Below are 22,016 nucleotides of genomic sequence, written 5' to 3' on the forward strand. Positions count from 1 at the left end.
TTAGTTCAGACCCACTGTGCAAAGATAAAGTCCTTGTATCTCAGTGAGAGAATGCTCTACAGAGAATGGAGTTTGCTTTACGGTGTGCATGTTAATACGCTATTCTCTTTAATTAGTTTGGCAAATATGGCTGCCAGTGGATAATTCTGCTGCATTTATATGCGTATTTGCACACACATGTGTGGTTATATGTGTTTCCTCTTCCAGATGCAGAAAAAAACCAAACAAACCAAAACATGAATACTATGAGGAAGGTCGCTGGGATTAGGCATAGCACATATAATACAAAAATATTAATAGCAGTCTACAATTTCAGAATTTTAAATTTGTTGATTTTTGAAAGCTCAGGAACAGCATTATTATTAAATATACATAAAGTGGTGATGGTCTCTGCTCAACAATGAGACGTTTTCCCACTACCCCAGGGAATACCTTTATTAATGCAGACAAATCCCTTGACAAGCCCCATTGCAACCATAACACTTACTATATGAGAGGATTGTATCTTTTGCTAGAGAGAATTTCCTGAGCCTAAAAATCATGTGAGTAGACTGACAGGAATTTCTCTCTGGGAATTGGAGGACATAAAACTGTATTTTGGACCTCTGTGGCATTAAAGACAACAGTGCTTTGGCCATGCTGCCCAGAAAGCACAGGGATTATCCACCTGTGTTCCCTGGCAGCTGAGCCCACTGGCTGTTTCTGTATGGCAGGAGAAAGTAAGTTGCCTGCTCTCAGCTCACCTTTCTCAATGCAGTTATACTTTAAAAATGTAAGTAACGCCATGGAATTACGAGGTCATGGAATTGTATGTGAGGGATTCTATCCATGGATCACTACAAGATCTGAAAAAGCTGTCACAATAAAATACATTCAAAAAGACAGAAAAAGTTCCCATGGTATTCTTTACCATTCCAAATAAATACATTTTGAGATTTTCGTCTTTCAGTATTTAGAATGTTTGGAAATTGGGGAGATAAATCACACAGAAGACATTTAAAGAAGACTTAGAAGAAATGTCTTTTAAAATGAAGAGTACATTTCCAGAGGCATAAGTCATCTAAGGCTTTTTCTGTAAAAGGTGCAGACTCTATCTGTGCCCATTCCTGCACACATGACAGAAAAGTTCATGTACATGTCAGCATTTCTATTGGTGTGATTAAGAGCCAGGCTATAGTAACACTGGGGTAAACGTTCTCGAACATCTTTTTAATCTTCTAAAGTTAAGGATACACACAAAAGGGAAACAAACATTTTAGTATAGTGATTATTGTTTCTAAAATGAATAGAAATATGCTTATGGCCCAATCTAGATGGTCTTAAGGTGGAAAACTATATAACAAAATTGATCAGTTTCCACAAACTAAATTAAATATTATTAAACTCTAAATAAAAAGGTCAGCATTAATTCACATGTAAAAATGTGTCACCTTTTAAATGGGGGAAATTATAAAGGGTTCTATTTTTTCTCACTGATTCATGGAATTTTTAGTAAATCATATTGAATGTTGAAGACCCTGATGAGTGACTTCTGAAGGTACTAAGATAACATGAAAATAAAAAAATAAACCGGAATAACCTTTGACATCCCTCCCTACCCCCACCCCTCATTCCAAGTGTATGTGTGTGTGTACACACGGAAGCCAAAATTGAAATACCAAAATTACCATATATACGTGTCTGTGTATATATACACAGTGTATGAAGAGTAGGAAATACCGATTTCTCACATATTTCGGGTACTGGCTGACGGCTTCATATATATTGAAGTGCTCAATTCTCTCAGCAACATTGTAAGTACGGTTAAGTTTTTACAAATGATATTTTTCTATGTAACAGGGCTTCAGAATTTTTTTTTTCTTTTCTTTTTTTTTTTTTTTTTTTTTGAGACAGCTTCTTGCTCTGTGGCCCTGGCTGGAGTGCAGTGGCGCAATCTCGGCTCACTGCAAGCTCCACCTCCCGGGTTCATGCCATTCTCCTGCCTCAGCCTCCCGAGTAGCTGGGACTACAGGTGCCCCCCACCACGCCCAGCTAATTTTTTTGTATTTTTTAGTAGAGACCAGGTTTCACTGTGTTAGCCAGGATGGTCTGGATCTCCTGACCTCGTGATCCGCCCTCCTTGGCCTCCCAAAGTGCTGGGATTACAGGAGTGAGCCACCGCACCCGCCCCAGATTTTTTATAGATGAGGAAACTGAGGCACAGGGAAGTCTAGAAACAGGAGGTGCTCCTAACTTAAATTCAAACCCAGACACTTTTACCCACCAAACTATTCTGTCTCTACCGGAAGGGAAAGGACCGGACTAGGCTTCAGGAAATTTGAGTCGGCTGTATTCTTGATCATTTTAAGTCTCTGGACTTACATTTTTTTTCATTTCAAAAATGTCTAAAGTTGAAATTAGGCATTTCAATGTTACTTGTCACTTTTCCACTCCAATCTGCAAAATGTTTCAAATTGTAAATTGCCTTTCCCCTCTAGAAGGTCAGTATTGAAAAGGCGTTTGAGATCACCAAATACAGGATCCCTTCCTACCATAGGAAATCTATTCTATATTATCTCAGATTTACAGTGATTTTCTACACAAATTCTTCTAATGAAGGAGACAGCCCATAGGCCATAAGACATTGTTAAAAGTATAATTGTTAGAAATATCTTATTTTTGTTAACTTTATGTCATTTTATTTTTTGAGACGGAGTCTCGCTTTGTCACCCAGGCTGGAGTGCAGTGGCGCGATCTCGGCTCACTGCAAGCTCCGCCTCCCGGGCTCCCGCCATTCTCCTGCTTCAGCGTCGCGAGTAACTGGGACTACAGGCGCTCGCCACCACGCCCAGCTAATTTTTTTGTATTTTCAGTAGAGACAGGGTTTCACTGTGTTAGCCAGGATGGTCTGGATCTCCTGACCTCGTGATCCGCCCAAAGTGTTGGGATTACAGGCGTGAGCCACCGCGCCCGGCCTTGTTAACTTTATTTACTCAGAAAGTCTAAATAATTGACTCACTTGTTTTTTTATATTCATTACTTTATATACCTTTCTGAAAACATAAAGCGTATAATTTGAATACCCAAAGAAATTGATTAAAAATGATTTCTTAGTAGTTATTTAAATACATATATTTCAACTTTAAAAATTAAAGTTTGATCTAGAGATCTTTTAGTCAACATTATATTGTGCACATTTATTCATACCATTAAGTACTGTTAAATGTAATTTTAATAATTTCTTCAGCTTCATGTTTTAAATTTTTATTATAACTTCAAAGAGTTTTTTAATAATTCAGATATTCCTAATCATAACTAGCAGCACTTCCTTTTACATTTTTTCATTCGGTATCATCCATACCACCTCCAAAAGAAGTTAGAAATAGGCATACTTGATTTTATTGCACTTTTCTTTATTGTATTTGCAGATATTGCATTTCTTACAAATTGAAGGTTTCTGGCAACCCTGTGTCGGACAAGTTTATCTGTGCCATTTTTCCAATAGCATGTGCTCACTTCATATCTCTATGTCACATTTTGTTAATTCTTGCCGTATTTCAAAGTTTTCATTATAATTAAATCTGCCATGGTGATCTTTGATCAGTGATCTTTGAGGTTACTATTGTAATTGTTTTGATGTGCCATGAACCACACTCATATAAGACAGTAAAATCAATCAACCAATGTTATGTGTTTTCTGATTGCTTCAGCAATGAGCCATTCTCTCATCTCTCTCTCTCTTCAGGCCTTCCTATTCCCTAAGACACAACAATTTTGAAATTAAGCCAATTAATAACCCTATAATGACCTCTAAGTGTTCAAGTGAAAGGAAGATTTGCACATCTCTTACTTGAAATCAAAAGCTAGAAATAATTAAGCTAGGTGAGAAAGGCATGCCAAAATTCAAGAGAGGCTGAAAGCTAGGCCTCTTGTGCCAAACAGTTAACTGAGTTGTGAATGCAAAAGAAAACTTCATGAAGCCAATTAAAAGTGCTACTCCAGTGAACACACGAATGAAAAGAAAGTGAAACAGCCTCATTGTTGATACACAGAACGTTTTAGTGGTCTGGATAGAAGATCAAACCAGTCATAACATTCTCTTAAGCAAAAGCCTAATCTAAAATAAGACCCTAACTCTCTCCAATTGTTGGAATGCTGAGAGAACTGAGGAAGCTAAGAACTTAGAAACTAGCAGACATTCGTTCATGAGGTTCACGGAAAGAAGTCATCTTCATAACTTAAAAGTGCAAGGTGAAACAGCAAGTGCTGATGTAGAAACTGTAGCAAGTTATCCAGAAGATCTAGCTAAGATTATTGATGAAGGTAGCAACACTAAACAACAGATTTTTAATGTAGACAAAACCGCCATATATTGGAAGAAGATGCCATGTAGGACTTTCATAGCTAGAGAGGAGAAGTGATCCTTATGAATGACTTTGAGGGGGTTCAAGACTTCAGTGGAGGAAGCAATTGCAGATGTGGTGGAACTAGCAAGAGAATTAGAATTAAAAGTGGAACATGAAGATGTGACTGAATTGCTGCAATCTCATGGTCAAACTTGAATGGATGAGGAGTTGCTTCTTATGGATGAGCAAGGAAAGTAGTTTCCAGTGGAATCTATTCCTGGTCAAGATGCTGTGAATATTGTTGAAATGACAACAAAGGATTTAGAATATGATATAAACTTAGTTGCTAAAGCAGCAGCAGAGTATGAGAGGATTGACTCCAATTTTGAAAGAAGTTCTACTATGGGTAAAATACTATGAAACTGCATTGTATGCTATAGAGATATCGCCCATGAAAAGAAGAGTCAGTTGTTGCGGCAAACTTCACTGTTCTCTTATTTTTAAGAAATTGCCACAGTCAACCCAGTCTTCAACAACCTCCATCCTGATTAGTCAGTAGCCATCAACATCAAGGCAAGACCCTCAACAAGCAAAAATATGATAACTTGCTAAAGAACATCTTTCTAGCAATAAAGTTTTTTTAAAAAATTAAGGTATGTACATTGTTTTTCGGATAGAATGCTACTGCACACATAATAGACTCAGGATAGTGTAAACATTACTTTTATATGCACTGGGAAACCAAAAAATTCACGTGACTCACTTGATTGTAATATCTGCTTTATTGTGGTGGTCTGGAACCAAACCCACAATATCTTTGAGGTATGTTCGTATTTGCTTCTATTTTCTTCTGCAGTTTTTATGGTTTCTTTATATTTTCCCACATCTGTCTCTTTAATCCATCTGTTATTTATTCTTATGTGTGGTTTGAAGAACTATAAATTTTCTGAAAACTCACAAATGATATTTTTCTATATAATAGGCCTTCAGCTATTTGAAATTTGTATTCATGACTACCATTTCTCTTCCATCCAAATCGCTAGATTTTCTACTCTATGTTAACTATGATCAATTCCTTTAAAGGGCTTAGGGTTTTGTTTTTTTTTTTTCCAGAGTTTTCAGTCTCCTCTGTATATTCTCAAGCTTGCTAATTTTATCCAGGAGTGTGATGTTCATAACTGGACATAATTTTTAAAATGTGCAATCAGTGTCCATGCATCCTAGGGCAGAAAATTGTAATTCTATACATGTAACTATTACGAGATTAAATTGGGTTGTTGGCCACCACATCGTAATCTTGGCACATATTCAACTTGTACTTAACTAAAACCTCCCAGATCTTTTTCACATGAACTGCTACTGTCAAGCCCTATTTTCTGAAAATGCTGCCAATTAATCTGCAAGCCTTTCATCTACATAGCAGTATATATGCATTTGATACACATTTTGCCTTCAAATGGTGATTGCGTTTCTTATTTAAATAAGATTATGCAATTATCCAGAAACATGGAAAGGGGCTCAATGAATGCCTTTGATAGGAGTGATAATGTGGAGTGTACAGATGCTGGAGTCCCTGTTCAGTAATCCTTTCCCATAAACAGTTAGTTTCACTGCTGCACAGGACATGTGATGGCCATATAGTGAGCAATGCCTTCATTTAAAACACATACCTATGGAATGACAATAGGGATTTCACAGAATCCCTTTAAGAATACCAAGAAACAAACTTAAAACTCCCCAGAATTAAAAAGGAGTTTCAGGCACCAAAAGAACTGAGCAGACTACTTTTTTGCAAAGTCCTTTGTGATCTTCTTAAGCCCATCTATTCAGAGTAAAGGTCAAGTGGGCAAACCCAGCAATTCTATTTTCCCACAAAGCTGCTACAGTTTTCTATCTCCTGACAGCCCCGTCACTAGGAGTCTATTATCTACCATTCTGTTTCCAGCACCACCCAGATCCTTAACTGGAAACCCACTAAACAGCTCCTTTCTTTCATGGGCTGACTTTCAGCTTCTTGTAAGGCTTCATGTTGTACATCTAAAAGCTTTCTGCTCTTGCTCTGTTTGTTTAAGGAGGGCAACTTGAGAAAGCAGAACCCACCATAAACAAGGCTTTCACTACTCAGTAGACCAAATGCAGGCAAATTTGCTAATCAAGGCCTCTTCTAGTTCATTAGGTAGCACTTTAAAACTAGCGTTTAGATGACATGTCTGAAACTGTCTTTAAAAACTATCTTAAGGATTTGATTTTTACTTGCTGGAGCATTTCAGATCTTCCCTTTAAATAATACTTAGTGATTCTTAAAAAAAAAAAAAAAAACAAACAAAAAAAACAAGCCAACAAATTGGAATTTTACCATCCAATCATACAGACCACAGATTGTGTCTGTACTATATTAAGTACACTTTTTCTTGCCCCAATAGCTGTTTACAGTGGTAGTTGTTTTCTTGCTCAGAACTTGATCCAGATCAAGAAATTAACTATAAGAAAATAAAATCTAGTTGTTTTAAGTTGACAGCTATTTGGCAATCAAAAACTCAAATCCTCCCACTTTCAAAGTTAAATGGAGAAAAAAAAGAAGAAAAAAAATTATTCTTCCTGGCAGGCTGTAAGCTTTCCATTTCGAGGTGTTTGTATACTGACACGAATCAGATCGGGGCCAAAGAAGCCTCATTCACAACAGTGGAGTCAACACATCCAATTTAAGCTCAAGTTAGCAATTTTCTTACATTTCTAACATATATTCTTGTCATTCCTGACTGGCAGTTATTGACACATAAGCACATATTGAAATACACACATATCCTTAACCAGGAAGAGAAAACAAGTAGGGGTAGCATTGAAAAACTCAGAGCAAATGAGCTATCAAGCCTTGTAAAGACATGGAGGAAACTTACATGCATACCACTAAGTGAAAGAAGCCAATCTGAAAAGGCTACATACTGTATGATTCCAATTATATGTCATTCTAGAAAAGGCCAAACTATGGAGACAGTAAAAAGATTAGTGGTTGCTGGGGGTTAGTGGGGAGGGAGAGATGAACTGGTAGAAGACAGAGGATATTTAGGGCAAGGAAAATACTTTGTATGATACTATAATGATGGATACATGTTGTTATACATTGGCCAAAACCCACAGAATGTACAACAGTAAGAGTGAACCCTAATGTAAACTGTGGACTCTGGTCGATAATGATGTGTCAATGTAGGTTCATCAACTGTAAGAAATGTACCACTCTGGTACAGGATGTTAATAATGAGGGAGGCTATGCATATGTGGGAGGGAGTGCCATCTGTGGGATAGCTCTGTACCTCTCTCTCAAATTTGCTGTGAACTTCAAAAAGTCTTTAAAATAATTTTCAGTCGGAAGGTTAACATGTATTCAAACATTAATTTGTGGAATAGGATGAGGATGATTATTTATTTAAGTGTCATGATTAAATGTACCCAAAATCAATGATAAAAATGCCTGGTTTACCTTCAATTACCTATTAGAAAAGAAATGCACTTCAAAATACACACCACAAAACACAAATGGTGGAATCTTCGACCATTTGTTTTCCTTTTAATCTTTGTCACATGACATTGTCTCACCACAGTTCTAGTGTTCTCTTCCTAATATTTATGGTTCAAAGTCAATGAAGTAAGCTGTTTGAATTATTAAGTACCAATTATCTTCAAATAAAATATATTCACAAAGCCATTCCTCTTGCATGTTACTTCATGACCTGTTTTTCTCTGTAGGGTCTCACCCTTGGAAGGTGCAGTGGAAATGAAAATTACATTGAAAGCAGCTTTCCTTTTATCATGATGATAGACCCAAGACTATATGCAGCCTAAGAACGTGAAAGAACCCATGAATGGTGGTGAGCTCCACAGCTTACAGAAGTCCTAGTGGTGTTTAGCAGGATGTTTTCCTAAATCTTGAACATGGCTTTGAGGAATTCACAGTCTGACCTCCACTCACTTCTTCAAGCTCATCTTTACATCCCACCTCCTTAGCCACTCACACATCATTCTTCATCCAGATTTATACACTTGTGGACCCTAAAAGTACCATTTTCTCTCTAGCCCCTATGTCTTTTTACTCAAGTAAACCTGAGTTTAAAATGTCTTCACCCTCTCATACCCCATGCACTTCCAACTGCCTTTAGGTAACTCCCATGCGACCTTCAGCTCTCAGCTCGAATCTCAGTGCTACCATCTTTTAATTTAGGTTCCCTTCCTGTGCAGTTTCCTAGCACCCCTTATGCTCACCCCCATACCACTCTATAGTGATGGTAGAAAGCAGAGTTCAAAAATGTGTCCAAGTACCACAGGTATCAGAATCATCTCGAAAGCCTGTTAAAACTCAGATTTCTAGGTTCCATCTTGGTCTTACTGAATTGAAATCTCTGGTAATGGGGCTGAGAGATGTGTACTTTAAATAATTTTCCCAGCTAATACCTATGTATTCTAACTTCAGAAACACTAGAGTGGGAAATATATTCTTAGGAAGGATAAAAACACAGATTGAGGCTACTTTTCCTTTCTTAAAATATCAATAAAATAAGGGGTAAAGACTAAAAAAAAATGTTTTAAAAGTGGACTATAGACTTTACATGGGAGTAGAACCGTCGACATGTCTGAAGGTCACAACTCTCTAGGTGGTTTTCCTTTTCTAGTCTAAAAAATGAAATCATGTCCTACACATGTCATTCCATTCCTCCCTACAGGAAATAGAGTAATGGCTCTGCTAAAAAAGACCAGAGTTAAAGTGTGTGTGTGTATTCAAGAGAAGTACCTTTAGAAGAGACATTTTAATTAACCCCAATTTAATAGACAATGCTGAAACACAGGGGACTTAAGACATTCCTGACCTATAGCTTTTCAGTGATAATGATGATGATAAATGAGGCTACATTCTCCAGTCTAGAAATACTTGCCACAGGCATGATTTCTGAACAAATTGCTTCCCTCATTTGTCACTGCCCCGTATCAAGTAATAATGATCTCAAGCACAAGAACAGAAAGCCTAGGGAAACAAATGTAAGAGATGTAAAAGGAAATGAATAGAAGTGAGGTTATGACGCTTTGGAGACATTTTTTAAAAAGTTAAATTCCAATGAAGATAGTTTAGAAATTGGAATGACCCTCAAGTTTGGTTCTCCAATCAGTATTTGTGTTTCCTGAACAATCTTGGTGTTGATTCTTAGATTTTAATTAGCAATGGTGCTACGGTAAAAGGATCCTCAGCAATTTCTCACAGACTCCGGGCCATTTGCTCTCATTATAAAAGTCTACTTTCATCGTTCCTGCAGTATCATTGATCTTAACACAGTTGCTAAGGCCAACACTCATGTCATTATTTTTGATGTAACATGAAGAATAAAAATAAGTTCCTCTGTAAAAACCTAAGACATATTTTATTTTTTAAATGTCTGATGGCCTGTCAGAAAAAGAGGGATAATCATACAGTTTTCCAAATGCTAAACTATTTCTTTATGTGAGTCAAAAACATTGATTTTGGCGTTTTGCCTACACCAAGAAAACCAGTGCTTTGAAGGCAATGAGCAAGTGACAATTTACACAGAGCCTGTTATAATCCCTCACCCCCTACCTTCCTGGAAAAGCAGAATTCACAGTGGTTGGTCAGAACCCTGTTTGGGGCTGGAATAGGCCAAAACCACTCAGAAGTTTCTAGAGCCAATTAAATACCCCTGATTTACTGATTTAATAAAGAAACTCTGTCTTCTGACCTCAAAGGGTCAATAAGAACAAACATCAATAAAAGGGAAATGTTTTCATTGAAAACATGGGGAGATCAAGCACAAGGCTTCTAACATTGTGTGATGCACTAATTTATCAGCAAAATGCTCATAGTGGGTAGCAACTCATCAAGGAAAAGAGCAATCTGCTCCACAGCCTTCACACTATGCTACTTACATTTTCACAGAAACAAGTTAGAATCTAAACTACTGAATACACTGAGACTCTTGGGTACCCTTAGCTACTTTCAAAGAAACAATTGTTCTTTCTTTTATGTCAGTTACGTCAACCACAAATCTTAAAAAACTTTAAAAGTAGAATCTTCTGCTGAGAACTGATTACACTAATAGACTCCAGTGTGTTCACCTCCTTTCTGCCACACTGACAGGTACTGGGTGGACAGTTGAGGATTGATGCATTCTAGTCTAAGAGATTTGTGTTTATACTTAGTCAAAGAAATACCTCATCAAAGATTTGATAGTTTAAGTAATGTAAAATGATGCAAATAATTTAAAATGATTTCTTTAAAGTGATGAGATATGCTTATTATTTTAAAATGCAGGTATCAATTCCATAAAAATAAAAAATCACAGAGCAAGAATCAAATGGTAATATCCTAGAATAATCCTTCTTTTTGGGTTTTGGGATTTTGTATGATTATTATATATCTCCTTATTTTCATTTTGGAGCATTTATTTTTTCCAAAACTGTTATGAATATTTTCAAACATACAGCAAAGTTGAAGAAATTTTGCAGTGAATATCTGTATATCTACCACTTCAATTTATTAGTAACTTACTTTACTAGTTTCATCATACTTCTATATATTTATCCACTCCTCTATCAATTTTATCTTTTTGATGCATTTCAATGTAAATTACAAACCCAAGAACCGTCCCAGTAAATATTTAAACATGTATATCATTAACCAGAGTTCAATATTTGTTTAGATTTTTTTCATGCAATATTTACACAAAATAGAATTCACAAATATTAAGTTTACATTCACTGAGTTTTGACAAATGCATCCAAACTCATCTCAGTTAAAATCCAAACCTTCTACCAAGTATGATCTGGCTCCAGCCTGTTTCTCTACTCACGATGCCAGCCCAGCATGCCTACCCAGCTCACTCATCTTCAGCCTTCTCTCTTTTTCTCACACAGCTGAGCTCTTGATGCCTTCACAGCCTGTGCACAAGTTAATCCTTCCTTTTGTCCCTCCTCATCTTCGATCATCACTTTTAAATATCACTTCCTTAAAAATGCCTTCCCTGCCTGCCCATATAGATTATGTCTTCCCAGTTATGCTCTATAATTATTATCAAAATGTGAATTATACATGTTTATGTTTTCTTTGTTTAATGTCTGTGTGCTTTGTTAGTTTACATGTTCCATGATTGTAGGGACTATATATTTCTAATCCACTAGTTCATCTAACACAGGGAAACAGGATGCAGATAGCAGTTGACTGAATGAATTATAGCCCTCTTTGATCTCTTCTTTCTTGGACATTACTTGTTCATTCTACAATAATGCATCACATTATCTCATAATCAATTTATAAATTTATCTTTTATCTCTTCCTCTTCACAGTAAGGTCTGAGATCCAATGCTTATTCATTCATTCATACATGTTTACTAAGCACCTACTCTGTACCCGACAATGAAACAGATACATATAATACAGTCTGAAAAGTGTTCTGGAAACGCAAGAAGGGGCACCTTACTTGAATCGGAGGGAAAGGAAAAGACGGACTTGCCATTGAAGGTGGCCTCCAAGCTGAGGCTTGGAATAGATCTTAGCTTTATATACTTCCTTTACACACTAAATTCAGACCACCTTCTCTCTCATGTGTGAACTCCCTTTCACTTTTATTGACATGGACTGTGGAGCACTTTTCCCTACATGGAGAAAGAGAGCTAGTAATAATAAGGTGTCAGAGTGACTCTCGCTTGGTTTCTGGCAAGTAAAATCTAGGAAAAGTTCAAAGCCATGACTATATTATCTTTCTCCGCATTGGTCTCCTTCTTGAATATCCCACAGTGACTATGAAGTTTCAGCTCAAAGAACTTATTATTTTTCTACTCTGTACACTGGAGTCTAGCTCCAGAATATGAAAGCACAGCAGTGCAAGGGCCACAGAGGCACTGCAGTTTGTCAAAGCCCATTCCCTACCAATATTTGTTAACTTCTCTCAGAGTACAGCAACACATCACAGAAGAGTTTTGCTCTTGCAGAAAAACGTACAACAGGAAATGGATAGTTGAATACATTTTGCATGTCCCACACTTTCATTTGCTCCCTTAAATATATTCATTCATTAAATGAATACAGTGCCATGGTTGCTTGTACTGACTGGTTGGGAATCACAAATTCCAGAGATAGAGTACAAGGAAGCAGACAAACAAAAGGTTTTGAAATGTTGCATGATTACTAAGTGGCCCTCCCAATTCTGATATCCCTTTCAAGTAAGGTGTCACTTCTCAGTGCAAAACCCAGTGTGAATGAATGAATCAAGTTGGACAGGGAGGTTGATGTTCAGTTTTTCATAATGGTACACAGAAAAATCAAAATGTTGTCATTTAATTATGTTTATGTTAGTGACATTATTAAATAGCCACCTCTTTTTTACCACAGCTAGGTTCACCGTCTTCAATTAGAAAGTTAGAGTGCCTGTCTCTCAGATGTTTAGTCTTCTGTCATAACTCTTATTTTAAAAACATGAATTACTAACAGGGAAAAATTTGAGCATGACACAAATTTCCCATCTAATTATGCATTACTTTACTTGTGAGGAACAATGTGTGACTATAGAAAACTGCATCCAATGAACCAAGCTACATAGCAATATACAAAATACATACACATAACCCTTCAAACATCTAACAGGTATCTCAGTTTGCCATGTGTGTTAGGGACCATACCCATCCACATCTGGTGTTACAATTTTCTGTCTGATTTCAGATAACCCTCCTTCCACCTCTTCACAGTAACTCCCAAGCTGCAACTCTTCCAACATCCTCTTCCATAAGCAAACTTAGGTCTCTTTCAAGGTGAAGTCCATATTTATTGTAGCGTTTATATTTCTTAACCATTTGCATGTGTAGAAATATTCCATCAGTTTTATTAGGCTTCTATATTTGTGTGTATTTAATTCAAATTTTGCATGTTATGCTCCAATCCTATTTCCCCCACAAACTCTTGTGATTTTTATTTCCAATTTTGCATAGTGAGATAAATTTAAGGAACATTTATGTCATGTATAGCAGAACTGATTGGACAATTTCCTGTTGTTATTTATGTGATTTTTATGAAGCTTTTCTCCACAATTTAAAAGTGTCCTATAATAGAGATGCAAATTTATATTAAAATAATTTTTATTCCAATAATATCCACAGATTACCCATTTTCAGAGTTGGTAATAACTGGAGAGATGAGAAATTATAATTTATCTGATGAAAAAAAAAATCCAAAGAGAAAATTCATAGGATCAATCATTAACAGCTAGATAAAAAGTAATAACCCATAGTATATTTTTCTGAAATGGAGGAAGTACCCCTCTATTAAATAATATATAATATTTTCAAAAAACTGCAAGAATTATTTTCTTGGAGGTGGACTCTGAAATATTTTTGAAGCTAGAAAAGATTCCTCCATAGGAAAAAGAGTAAAAACAAAACTCATAATTACTAAATTAAAGACAAATTGTAACCAGAGTGATTGTCCAAATATTACACTGTGAGCTGTGCAGATATATAACTAATTACAGAAACTGCTATGGATGGATGGTCTAATCCTTGTTTGGGCACTTTTTTTGAGGCAGTCTTCTTGCTAAAAATGTAAAGACTGGTCACTCAACAAAAGGCCCCAGGTTGTTTCTCTTAATTAAGTCTAGGAGTAACTCAGGGAAAAATGAACACGTTCAAGCTGCTGAAATATCAGAATATTTTGCTAATATATATAAGAATAATGCTAGTCAATCTATAACCAATAGAAATACAGAATAAGCTAATAAAACAATTGAGGAAGGGTGTGGGAAAGATGCCCTCATGACATTATGCTCTATTTTTCTAGAACACAGCCAATATTATAATCTTAGAAATAATGATCTTTAATGGAATTTTCTAGCATCTAATTTCTATGACAGATGTACTATGGGATTTTCATAATGCTTCAATGAAGGCAGGAGACATTTTTTTGAAGTGCTCATAAACTCAGAATAAACTGCCTTTAATCGAACATAGATTTTTGCTTGCCTTTTTCTTTCTTGAAAAAAAAAAAAAAACAGAGACATATAAAACAGCAGGTCTGCAACTTTCTCACTGAGGAAATAAAGGGAAAAAACCTGACAGAGCAAATCCAAACCAATTAAGCAAAACAGAAACCATTTGAAAGTCAGTAAAAGCATAGCTGAACATCAAATATAGGTCTATTATTGATGTGAATCAATTATGCAATTCTAATTGTGAGATTTACATTAGTGTATCATGTCAATTCTTATATATTAAATGTATTTTATTTAAAATATTACAAAAAATTCATATTTAGATAGTCCTGAATATTGAATTTGCATTTCTATACTATCATAGTTCTTTTTCTACAATCTAAAATTCTCAAGGATTCAAAAAGTACACAAGATTTTAAATTATTAAGACCAATAATTCCATTTACTGAATATCTACAAATCATAGTATCGTATAAATGAGAAAAAAAGCTTTTCTTTATTTCTGTGGCATATTGTAAAAGGAACTTGTAGCACTTGGGAAAAAATACAGAATTTTATAAGAGATGCTGAATAACCTTTAGGAAATAAAGGAGATAGCCCTTCTTTCATGCATATACATGATAAAATAAGAAACTATAAAATAAACTACAGAAAATTTTTGACTATCAGACATCACCCATATTTTGTAGGTACCTACTACAACTGTAATTAGCTTTCTTGCAACTCTGCAAATTTGCAAGTAAGTTGAATTACCTGGGCCCTATTATTGAAATGAAGGTCTGCCATTGACGCTGATAGAGCATCAGTGGTAAGGTCTCATGCAATGGCACATGATTGTGTAAGAAAAGCAATAGCCCTACTAAGAAAACTTTGCTAAATTGTTTTGCAGCATCCAAAGAAATAAAATAGAGTGGTAGGATCTTTATCAGAGCCCAGGACTTCCGTGTGATTAATTAGCTGTGGTTTATTTGGATGGTAAAGATAAAGGCAGAGCTGCAGGTAAACTTTGCACATTCATGCTTCTAAATTCATTAATACTATGTGTGAATTTTCTTTTCCATCACTATAACAAAACTCATGGTAAAAGAAACTTTGCCTCACAGGATCTCCATTTACAGATATATATTGGCACCATTCTACCAGATCAGGATTTTAGGTAAGTCAATCAACATAACTAAAAATTTGTTGTTTGCTGTTGCTGTTGTTATTGCTTTTGCCAGGGACCACTCTAGTTTTAATAAGATATTTCTCAGAAAGATGGTGAGGACCCTGGACCTGAACTCAGAGGTTCCATGACCATGTCAAAGTACTACCAGTGAAAATTAAAAACCTTCTTCTCCCATTAAAACAAAGCTCCCAAATTACCACATATCAATATTTATCAGTGCAGATTAGAAGAATGAATTCTGGTGGCTCTGGAGCCAAGATAACTTTCTGGGAACAGATATCCTCTTATTTAATAATTCAACTATAGGAACGTCTCTTTTTGAAAATATCATATAAATAAAATGAACACAAAAATACATGAAAAGTATAGCATAATGCAAAAGTATATGTCTCAAAACAGAAAAATTTGGTTTGCAAAAAATGTTTTTAGCTTTTTGCTGATACATAGAGATAGCAATAATATAGTTATCACTCAAAAATCCTTAAGAGCTAGGCATACAGTGTACATAGGGTTTGGTACTATCCATCATTTCAGGCAACTACAGGGGTTCTTGGAACATAGTTCCTGCAGATAAGGAAGGACTGCTATATGATTATTTCCATTCTGCATCTGATGAATCTAAGCACACATTCTATGAAATGTACCAGAATATAAAATATTGTGTGTGCATTCCTAAACAGCTGATTTTATTGATTGATTTATTTGTAAACTTTGCAGAGAGCATTGCTGCTTTCTGTAGATATTTAGTTTTCCAGAAATGAGCCTCTAGATACCTATCTTCTCCTTTTCCAGTTATCCATAATCATTGAGGAAACCCATCAATAAACGGAGGATAGGACGAGGTCTTCCCTAAATGCTAAGGGTCTTTCCTTCTCCCCAAGTGAAGATGGTACAAGGTAGCTTTGTTTTCAATCTTTAAATCTCCCAAAACTCTATCAGTGATTTCAGTCTCTTTCTACCCTGTCATGTAGCAGGAAAAATTATACCCTGGTGCATATCCAAGTTCACAGGCCACATTGAGCTTATTTTTCTTTTACAGGCCCTTGCAGTAAGCAGTTCCATTATAAACAATCTGCTTTATCAAGGCTGGCCCCAACAAATACAGATAAATAATAAAACATCTCAAGCTTCTAGAATGGAAAAGATTTATAAGCACGGCTGGCGTGGATGATGTAAAGAAGGGTTCAAAGGCTGTTTGAACCATAAACTCAAGAGGAAAAATCTGAATCATTTAGCAAAAAGAAGTGTTACATGAGGTTTTGGTTTTTTTTTTTTTGTTTCCTCTTCTCCTTCTTATGTTTTAAGGGAAAGTTTATTTAACACAAAGCACAAGCATCCCCTTTGTTATTGGATATGGTTAGAGTCACAGATATGCTTTTGATAGATGAAAGAGAAATACTTCTGGAAACAAAATATTTTATTTGAAGGAAACCTTCCAAAAACATGTCACATACTTCCGTGTTAATGTGATAAGTTGAATATGTAATTGAAACTTTTTTGATTGTATAAAAAGCATCATTTCCCAAAGTGCATTCTAGAAGCAGGATGTTAATGGTGTTTTGGGAAAAAAGGTGTTCTGAGGTCAAATAAATTTGGGAGATGCTGATGTCAATTTGGATTTGCTTAGAACAATGAATATTCCCATTTAGACTGGCTAATTGGGTGGGAAACGTAAACCCATATGTCAGGGCGTGTATTGACCCCACAGGCACTAAGAAATTGAATGTCAGTCTTTTTCTTCTAATTTCATGGCACCACTCTGTCACCAACTCCTTCCTAGAGGTTGAAATGTTAGAAAAGGAGAGGAAAAAAAGAGAGAATACAGGAAGAGAGGACAAGCTAAGAGCTGACCTACTCAATCATGCTGTTTATTTTCCCTTATGCACTAGGAGACATTTCTCTCCTGCATTTTGTGCAAAATCGGCCACCTGTTGCTGCTTCTGCTTTCCATTGGTGGTTCTGCCTCTGCTGTTCTCTGGCAATGCAGCGACCCTCAGATACCTTTGTTGGTTTTCCTGCAGAGATTATAAAATCACAGAGAGGCTATTGTTCTGCACGGATAGGAAAGCCAGAAGTACACGTAATGGAGAAAGGGAGACAGTAGATTGTTTTCAGTAGGAGGTGGCTTACCTGTGTTTGCTGCCTTTGTTCTGTTTGTTTCCCTATGTGCTAGTATTAGAGAAGGGAATAAATGTGGAAAAGAGACAACCCAGATGAATTTAGTCACATCTTAAAAAATATTTTGCTCTCCAAATGTAAGAAATTCAAACAAAACAGACCAATTTTTTCAACCTTCATTAACAGCAATTTAGTATCATATACCATTCAGAGAGGATGTTAGGCTCTCTCCAGTTATTCAGTACTTTCATGATTATTTCAAATATTGGTATGACTTTTAATTAAAGTATGAGTAGAAGACTCTACTTACTTCTTTCCACTCAAAAATACTGCATATATAGCTAATTTCACTTGTATATAATTTTAAGGCATTCTAGGTTTTTAGATAGCAGTAATGGTGATAATTAGTAAGAGAAAATTAAGATTCCGAAGACCTGACACCGAAAAAAAAAGCAGTAAGTCCCAAAAGGAGGGAAGATTCCTGGAGTGCTTGAATAACATTTGGCCATGCCTCAGTGAACTTGAAAGAAACTCGGTGAAATTTAAAAAGTACTTATCAGCAACCATAGCTCTAACATGCTTTTCTTTAATAAATAATACTTAACACTTACTGCTTACATCACAATTTTCATCTTCAATGTACTTTACAAACATTAAGTAATTTTTATAATACTCTTGGGAATTAACAATGCTATTTCTGCATTTATATAGAGTCGCTCATTTGAAGAATCTGAAAGGACTTCACAAATATTAAATATAAGCCACATTCAATTTTAAAAAAGAGAAATAAAAACGAAACTGGACAGGTCATTGGAAATAGAGTCTATATACTATTGGAATTAAGAATTTCTGATTTCTAAATTTGGTTTTGACCACATAAAAGCATTCCTTTATGGAGGCTGCTTAAATTCAACGGTGTCTTAAAAACTGCTTAAAAAATTAATATACAAGGACAATTTCAATGTCAGGCCACCAGACTTCTGCTTTTGTGTCATGTTTCTATTCATTCCTGAACAAATATGGCTATGTCCTCATTTCCTAGCTCAACAAAAGGAAGCAGTGGAACTGCTAATACAGAAATCCTTCCAAATGAACTTCAAATGAATGCATTATGCTCTTTGCGTAAATTTCACTTTCAAAATTGTATGTTTCAAAAGATAATATTAAAATTATTTAATGAATAACGAAGGAGGACTCTGTGATTATCAGTGAAAAATATGCCCAGGTTGTTTTATTTTTCAATCAATATTTGACTAATAAAGAAATTGCTAAATTACTTTGGCCTAATGTTATTTGTTTAAGTTAGCACTCAATTTTTCTTTATTCTAAGTAACTCTGCAAATCAATGTTTTGGAGATCTTGCAAAAACTAGGTATAATTACACTGTTCTGTATATGAATATGTAATACATATATATACATAGACACATAATATATGTAATGTAACTAATTACATAAATTATTTTATTTAATTATCACAGCAAAAGACCTGTATCATTATCACTGTTTTACAGATGAATTAAGTGAGGCACAGTGATGTGACTTACCTAACTAAGGCAATATATCTAGTGAATGGTACAGTCAGAATTCAAACCCAAACAGTCTGTTTCAGGAGGCTGGACTCTTGAGCACTGTTCAGAATAAGTTGCTCTCATGAAGCTAAATAGTATAGTAAACTAGTAAGATTAACACGCTAAGCAGGTCAGTTGGTGGATCACCCAGCACAGAGCAAAGAAAGGCAACCTGGTTAGTGTAAAGAATTTATGACTTCCATTCAGGAGCCCAGTTTGGTGAATTGCTTGTATAGTCTACTAGACATGTGACGCTGTGAACCATGTCAACTTTTTGAGTTTTAACTCTCTTAACAGTAGTAGCGCAGGGGTAGAGAGAAAGAGATTGAATTATCTTTGAAGACTTCAAGACTTTCAAAGTCTTGAAGGACCCTACTGTTTTTTGATTGTTTGTTTATTTGTTTGTTTGTTTTGAAACAGGGTTTGGTCTGTTGCCCAGGCTGGAGTGCAGTGGTGTGATCATAGATCACTGTAGCCTTGAATTCCTGGGCTCAAGTGATCCTCTCACATTAGCCCCCTGTGTAGCTGGGACTACAGGCATGTGCAACCATGCCCAGCTAATTTTTTTTTTTTTTTTTTTGTAGAGACAGGGTATCACTATGTTGCCCAGGCTGGTCTTAAGTTCCTGGTCTCAAGCGATCTTCCCTCCTTGGCCTCCCAAAGTGCTGGGATTACATGTGTGACCCATCAAGCCCGCCTGTTTTTTAGAGATGGAGTCGTGCTATGTTGCCCAGGCTGGCCTCCAACTCCTGGGCTCAAGCAGTCCTCTCACCCCAGCCCCCAAGTAGCTGAGACTACAGGCACACTTATCATTTTTAACAATATATATTCTCTTCTGCTTCTATTATTCACAGCTGGAAGAATTTTGGTGAGGTAAAATAATAGCTGTCTTATATAGAATCAATCACAAATGTAGCCTAATATAATAATGCGCCAAATAATTAGTAATGTATGCAGACGTGTCCTTAATTTCTTTCCTAAAAGTCCATGCATGAGTGTGTGCGCCAATACACACACACACACACACATACACACACAAACATATTCATGCAAATATATGCTATGTATGTATGTATAGCTTCTTCTTGTATTATTTATCATAATGGTAACGCTGGCAGATGTTTCCTAGGTTTGGAGGACATGATAATGAAGAAGACAGTCCTTGCCTTCAAAGAGCTCGCATTCCAGTTGGGGAGCATGAGGAGATAAGCTAATTCCAAAAAAAGAAAGAGTGAGAAGCTGGGGATATTTTAGCCAGACTGATTAAGGGAGGACTAGTTGATATTAATAAGGAAATAATACAAAATCTGCTATAAGAACATCCCAAGGAGAGGAAACAGCTAATGTAGGAGGCTGGATATGGCAAGCAGGTTGGATAGTCTAAACAATTAGACAGCAAGAAAGTCAGTGTCACACAGGGAAAAGAATACTACGTGATCAGATCAGAAAGGACACAGCCAGGCAAGGGACATCTTAGAGATCAGGGAGGGCCTCAGAGGTCTTTGTGTATTTTTGTGTTGTTATTTTTCAAGTATAATTAGAAACTACCAGAGAGTAACAGGGTACCTATTTTTGCTACTCACAGTATGTATTAGTATGTTAAATACTATTTCTTTAACATTTCTTAACTTTCAAAAGATTTCTTCAAATGACTGAGGGTCTCTGTTACTCTAAATGCACACTGATATTATATGAACAATCAAAGCAATTTGCCAATCATTTGCTGCAAGGATGCAGAGGAATCTAGGACCTTTGAGAATGTAATAAATAATTCTTTTATTTGGAACTCACTGAAAATTTGACATTTAAAAATGTTTTCCTTTTATTATTTAACCATCTTTTATTTTCAGTTTGTGCTTTTTTTATAGATACAACATGAAAATGATGTTCCTATACAGAATTCTATCAATATTAAGGGGTATAGAAAAGTTTATTTGAACTATATATTTATTGTTTCTTTTTATTATTATTCTTTATTGAATTTCTGTGAGATTACAGAATTTTCAATCAAAGTACTGGTAGGATTTGATCTACTCTCTCTTGAATAATACAAACACCCTATTTTTTCACTAAGATAAAATCAAGATAATTTACAAACACTTTAATTAAACCATGAATGTTTTATTTTATATACATAAACATATATTAATCCATTAAGACTCCATCACCATTTTTGAATACTGACAGAGTGAATTCCTTAGTCTTGTACCATGGAGATGGCTATTAATATAGCGCATCTCCATATATGCTAATGGTCTCCTGAATATCCTTTGAGAGCATGAAACTAACTCCATAGATTATACTGGGAATGGACAGATGGACAACAGACTTGAGCTCATCTCTGCTAATGTGGGGTTCTACAGTGAAAACTGCACTGGCAGATAAAGACCTGCTCATTGACCTCTTTCTCCTTTATTCACCATGGGGTCTTGGAAGTTCACTGTGGGCCTCAGCAATCCCACTTATAAAGTGGGGATACTTGCTTGTCTGACAGCAAGTAAATAGGCAGCTGGAGTGCATTGCCTTTTTTTTTTTTTTTTGAGACGGAGTCTCGCTCTGTCGCCCAGGCTGGAGTGCAGTGGTGCGATCTCCGCTCACTGCAGGATCCGCCCCCCTGGCTTCACGCCATTCTCCTGCCTCAGCCTCCCGAGTAGCTGGGACTACAGGGGCCTGCCACCTTGCCTGGCTAATTTTTTGTATTTTTAGTAGAGACGGGGTTTCACCGTGTTAGCCAGGATGGTCTCGATCTCCTGACCTCGTGATCCGCCCGCCTCAACCTCCCAAAGTGCTGGGATTACAGGCGTGAGGCACCGCGCCGGGCCTGCATTGCCTTTTAAAGCACTTTAGGAACCTGTATGATT

At 36.1% G+C, this 22,016-nt stretch overlaps 1 protein-coding gene across 2 annotated transcripts in view; it reads right to left on the minus strand.

Annotated features, from left to right (window-relative positions):
• UNC5C (unc-5 netrin receptor C) overlaps nt 1-22,016 on the minus strand; it is a 386,470-nt gene that overhangs the window by 260,150 nt on the left and 104,304 nt on the right. The window lies entirely within an intron of this gene.

The sequence above is a fragment of the Homo sapiens genome, chromosome 4, assembly GCF_000001405.40.
Source record: "Homo sapiens chromosome 4, GRCh38.p14 Primary Assembly".
In the NCBI taxonomy this organism is placed as follows: domain Eukaryota; kingdom Metazoa; phylum Chordata; class Mammalia; order Primates; family Hominidae; genus Homo; species Homo sapiens.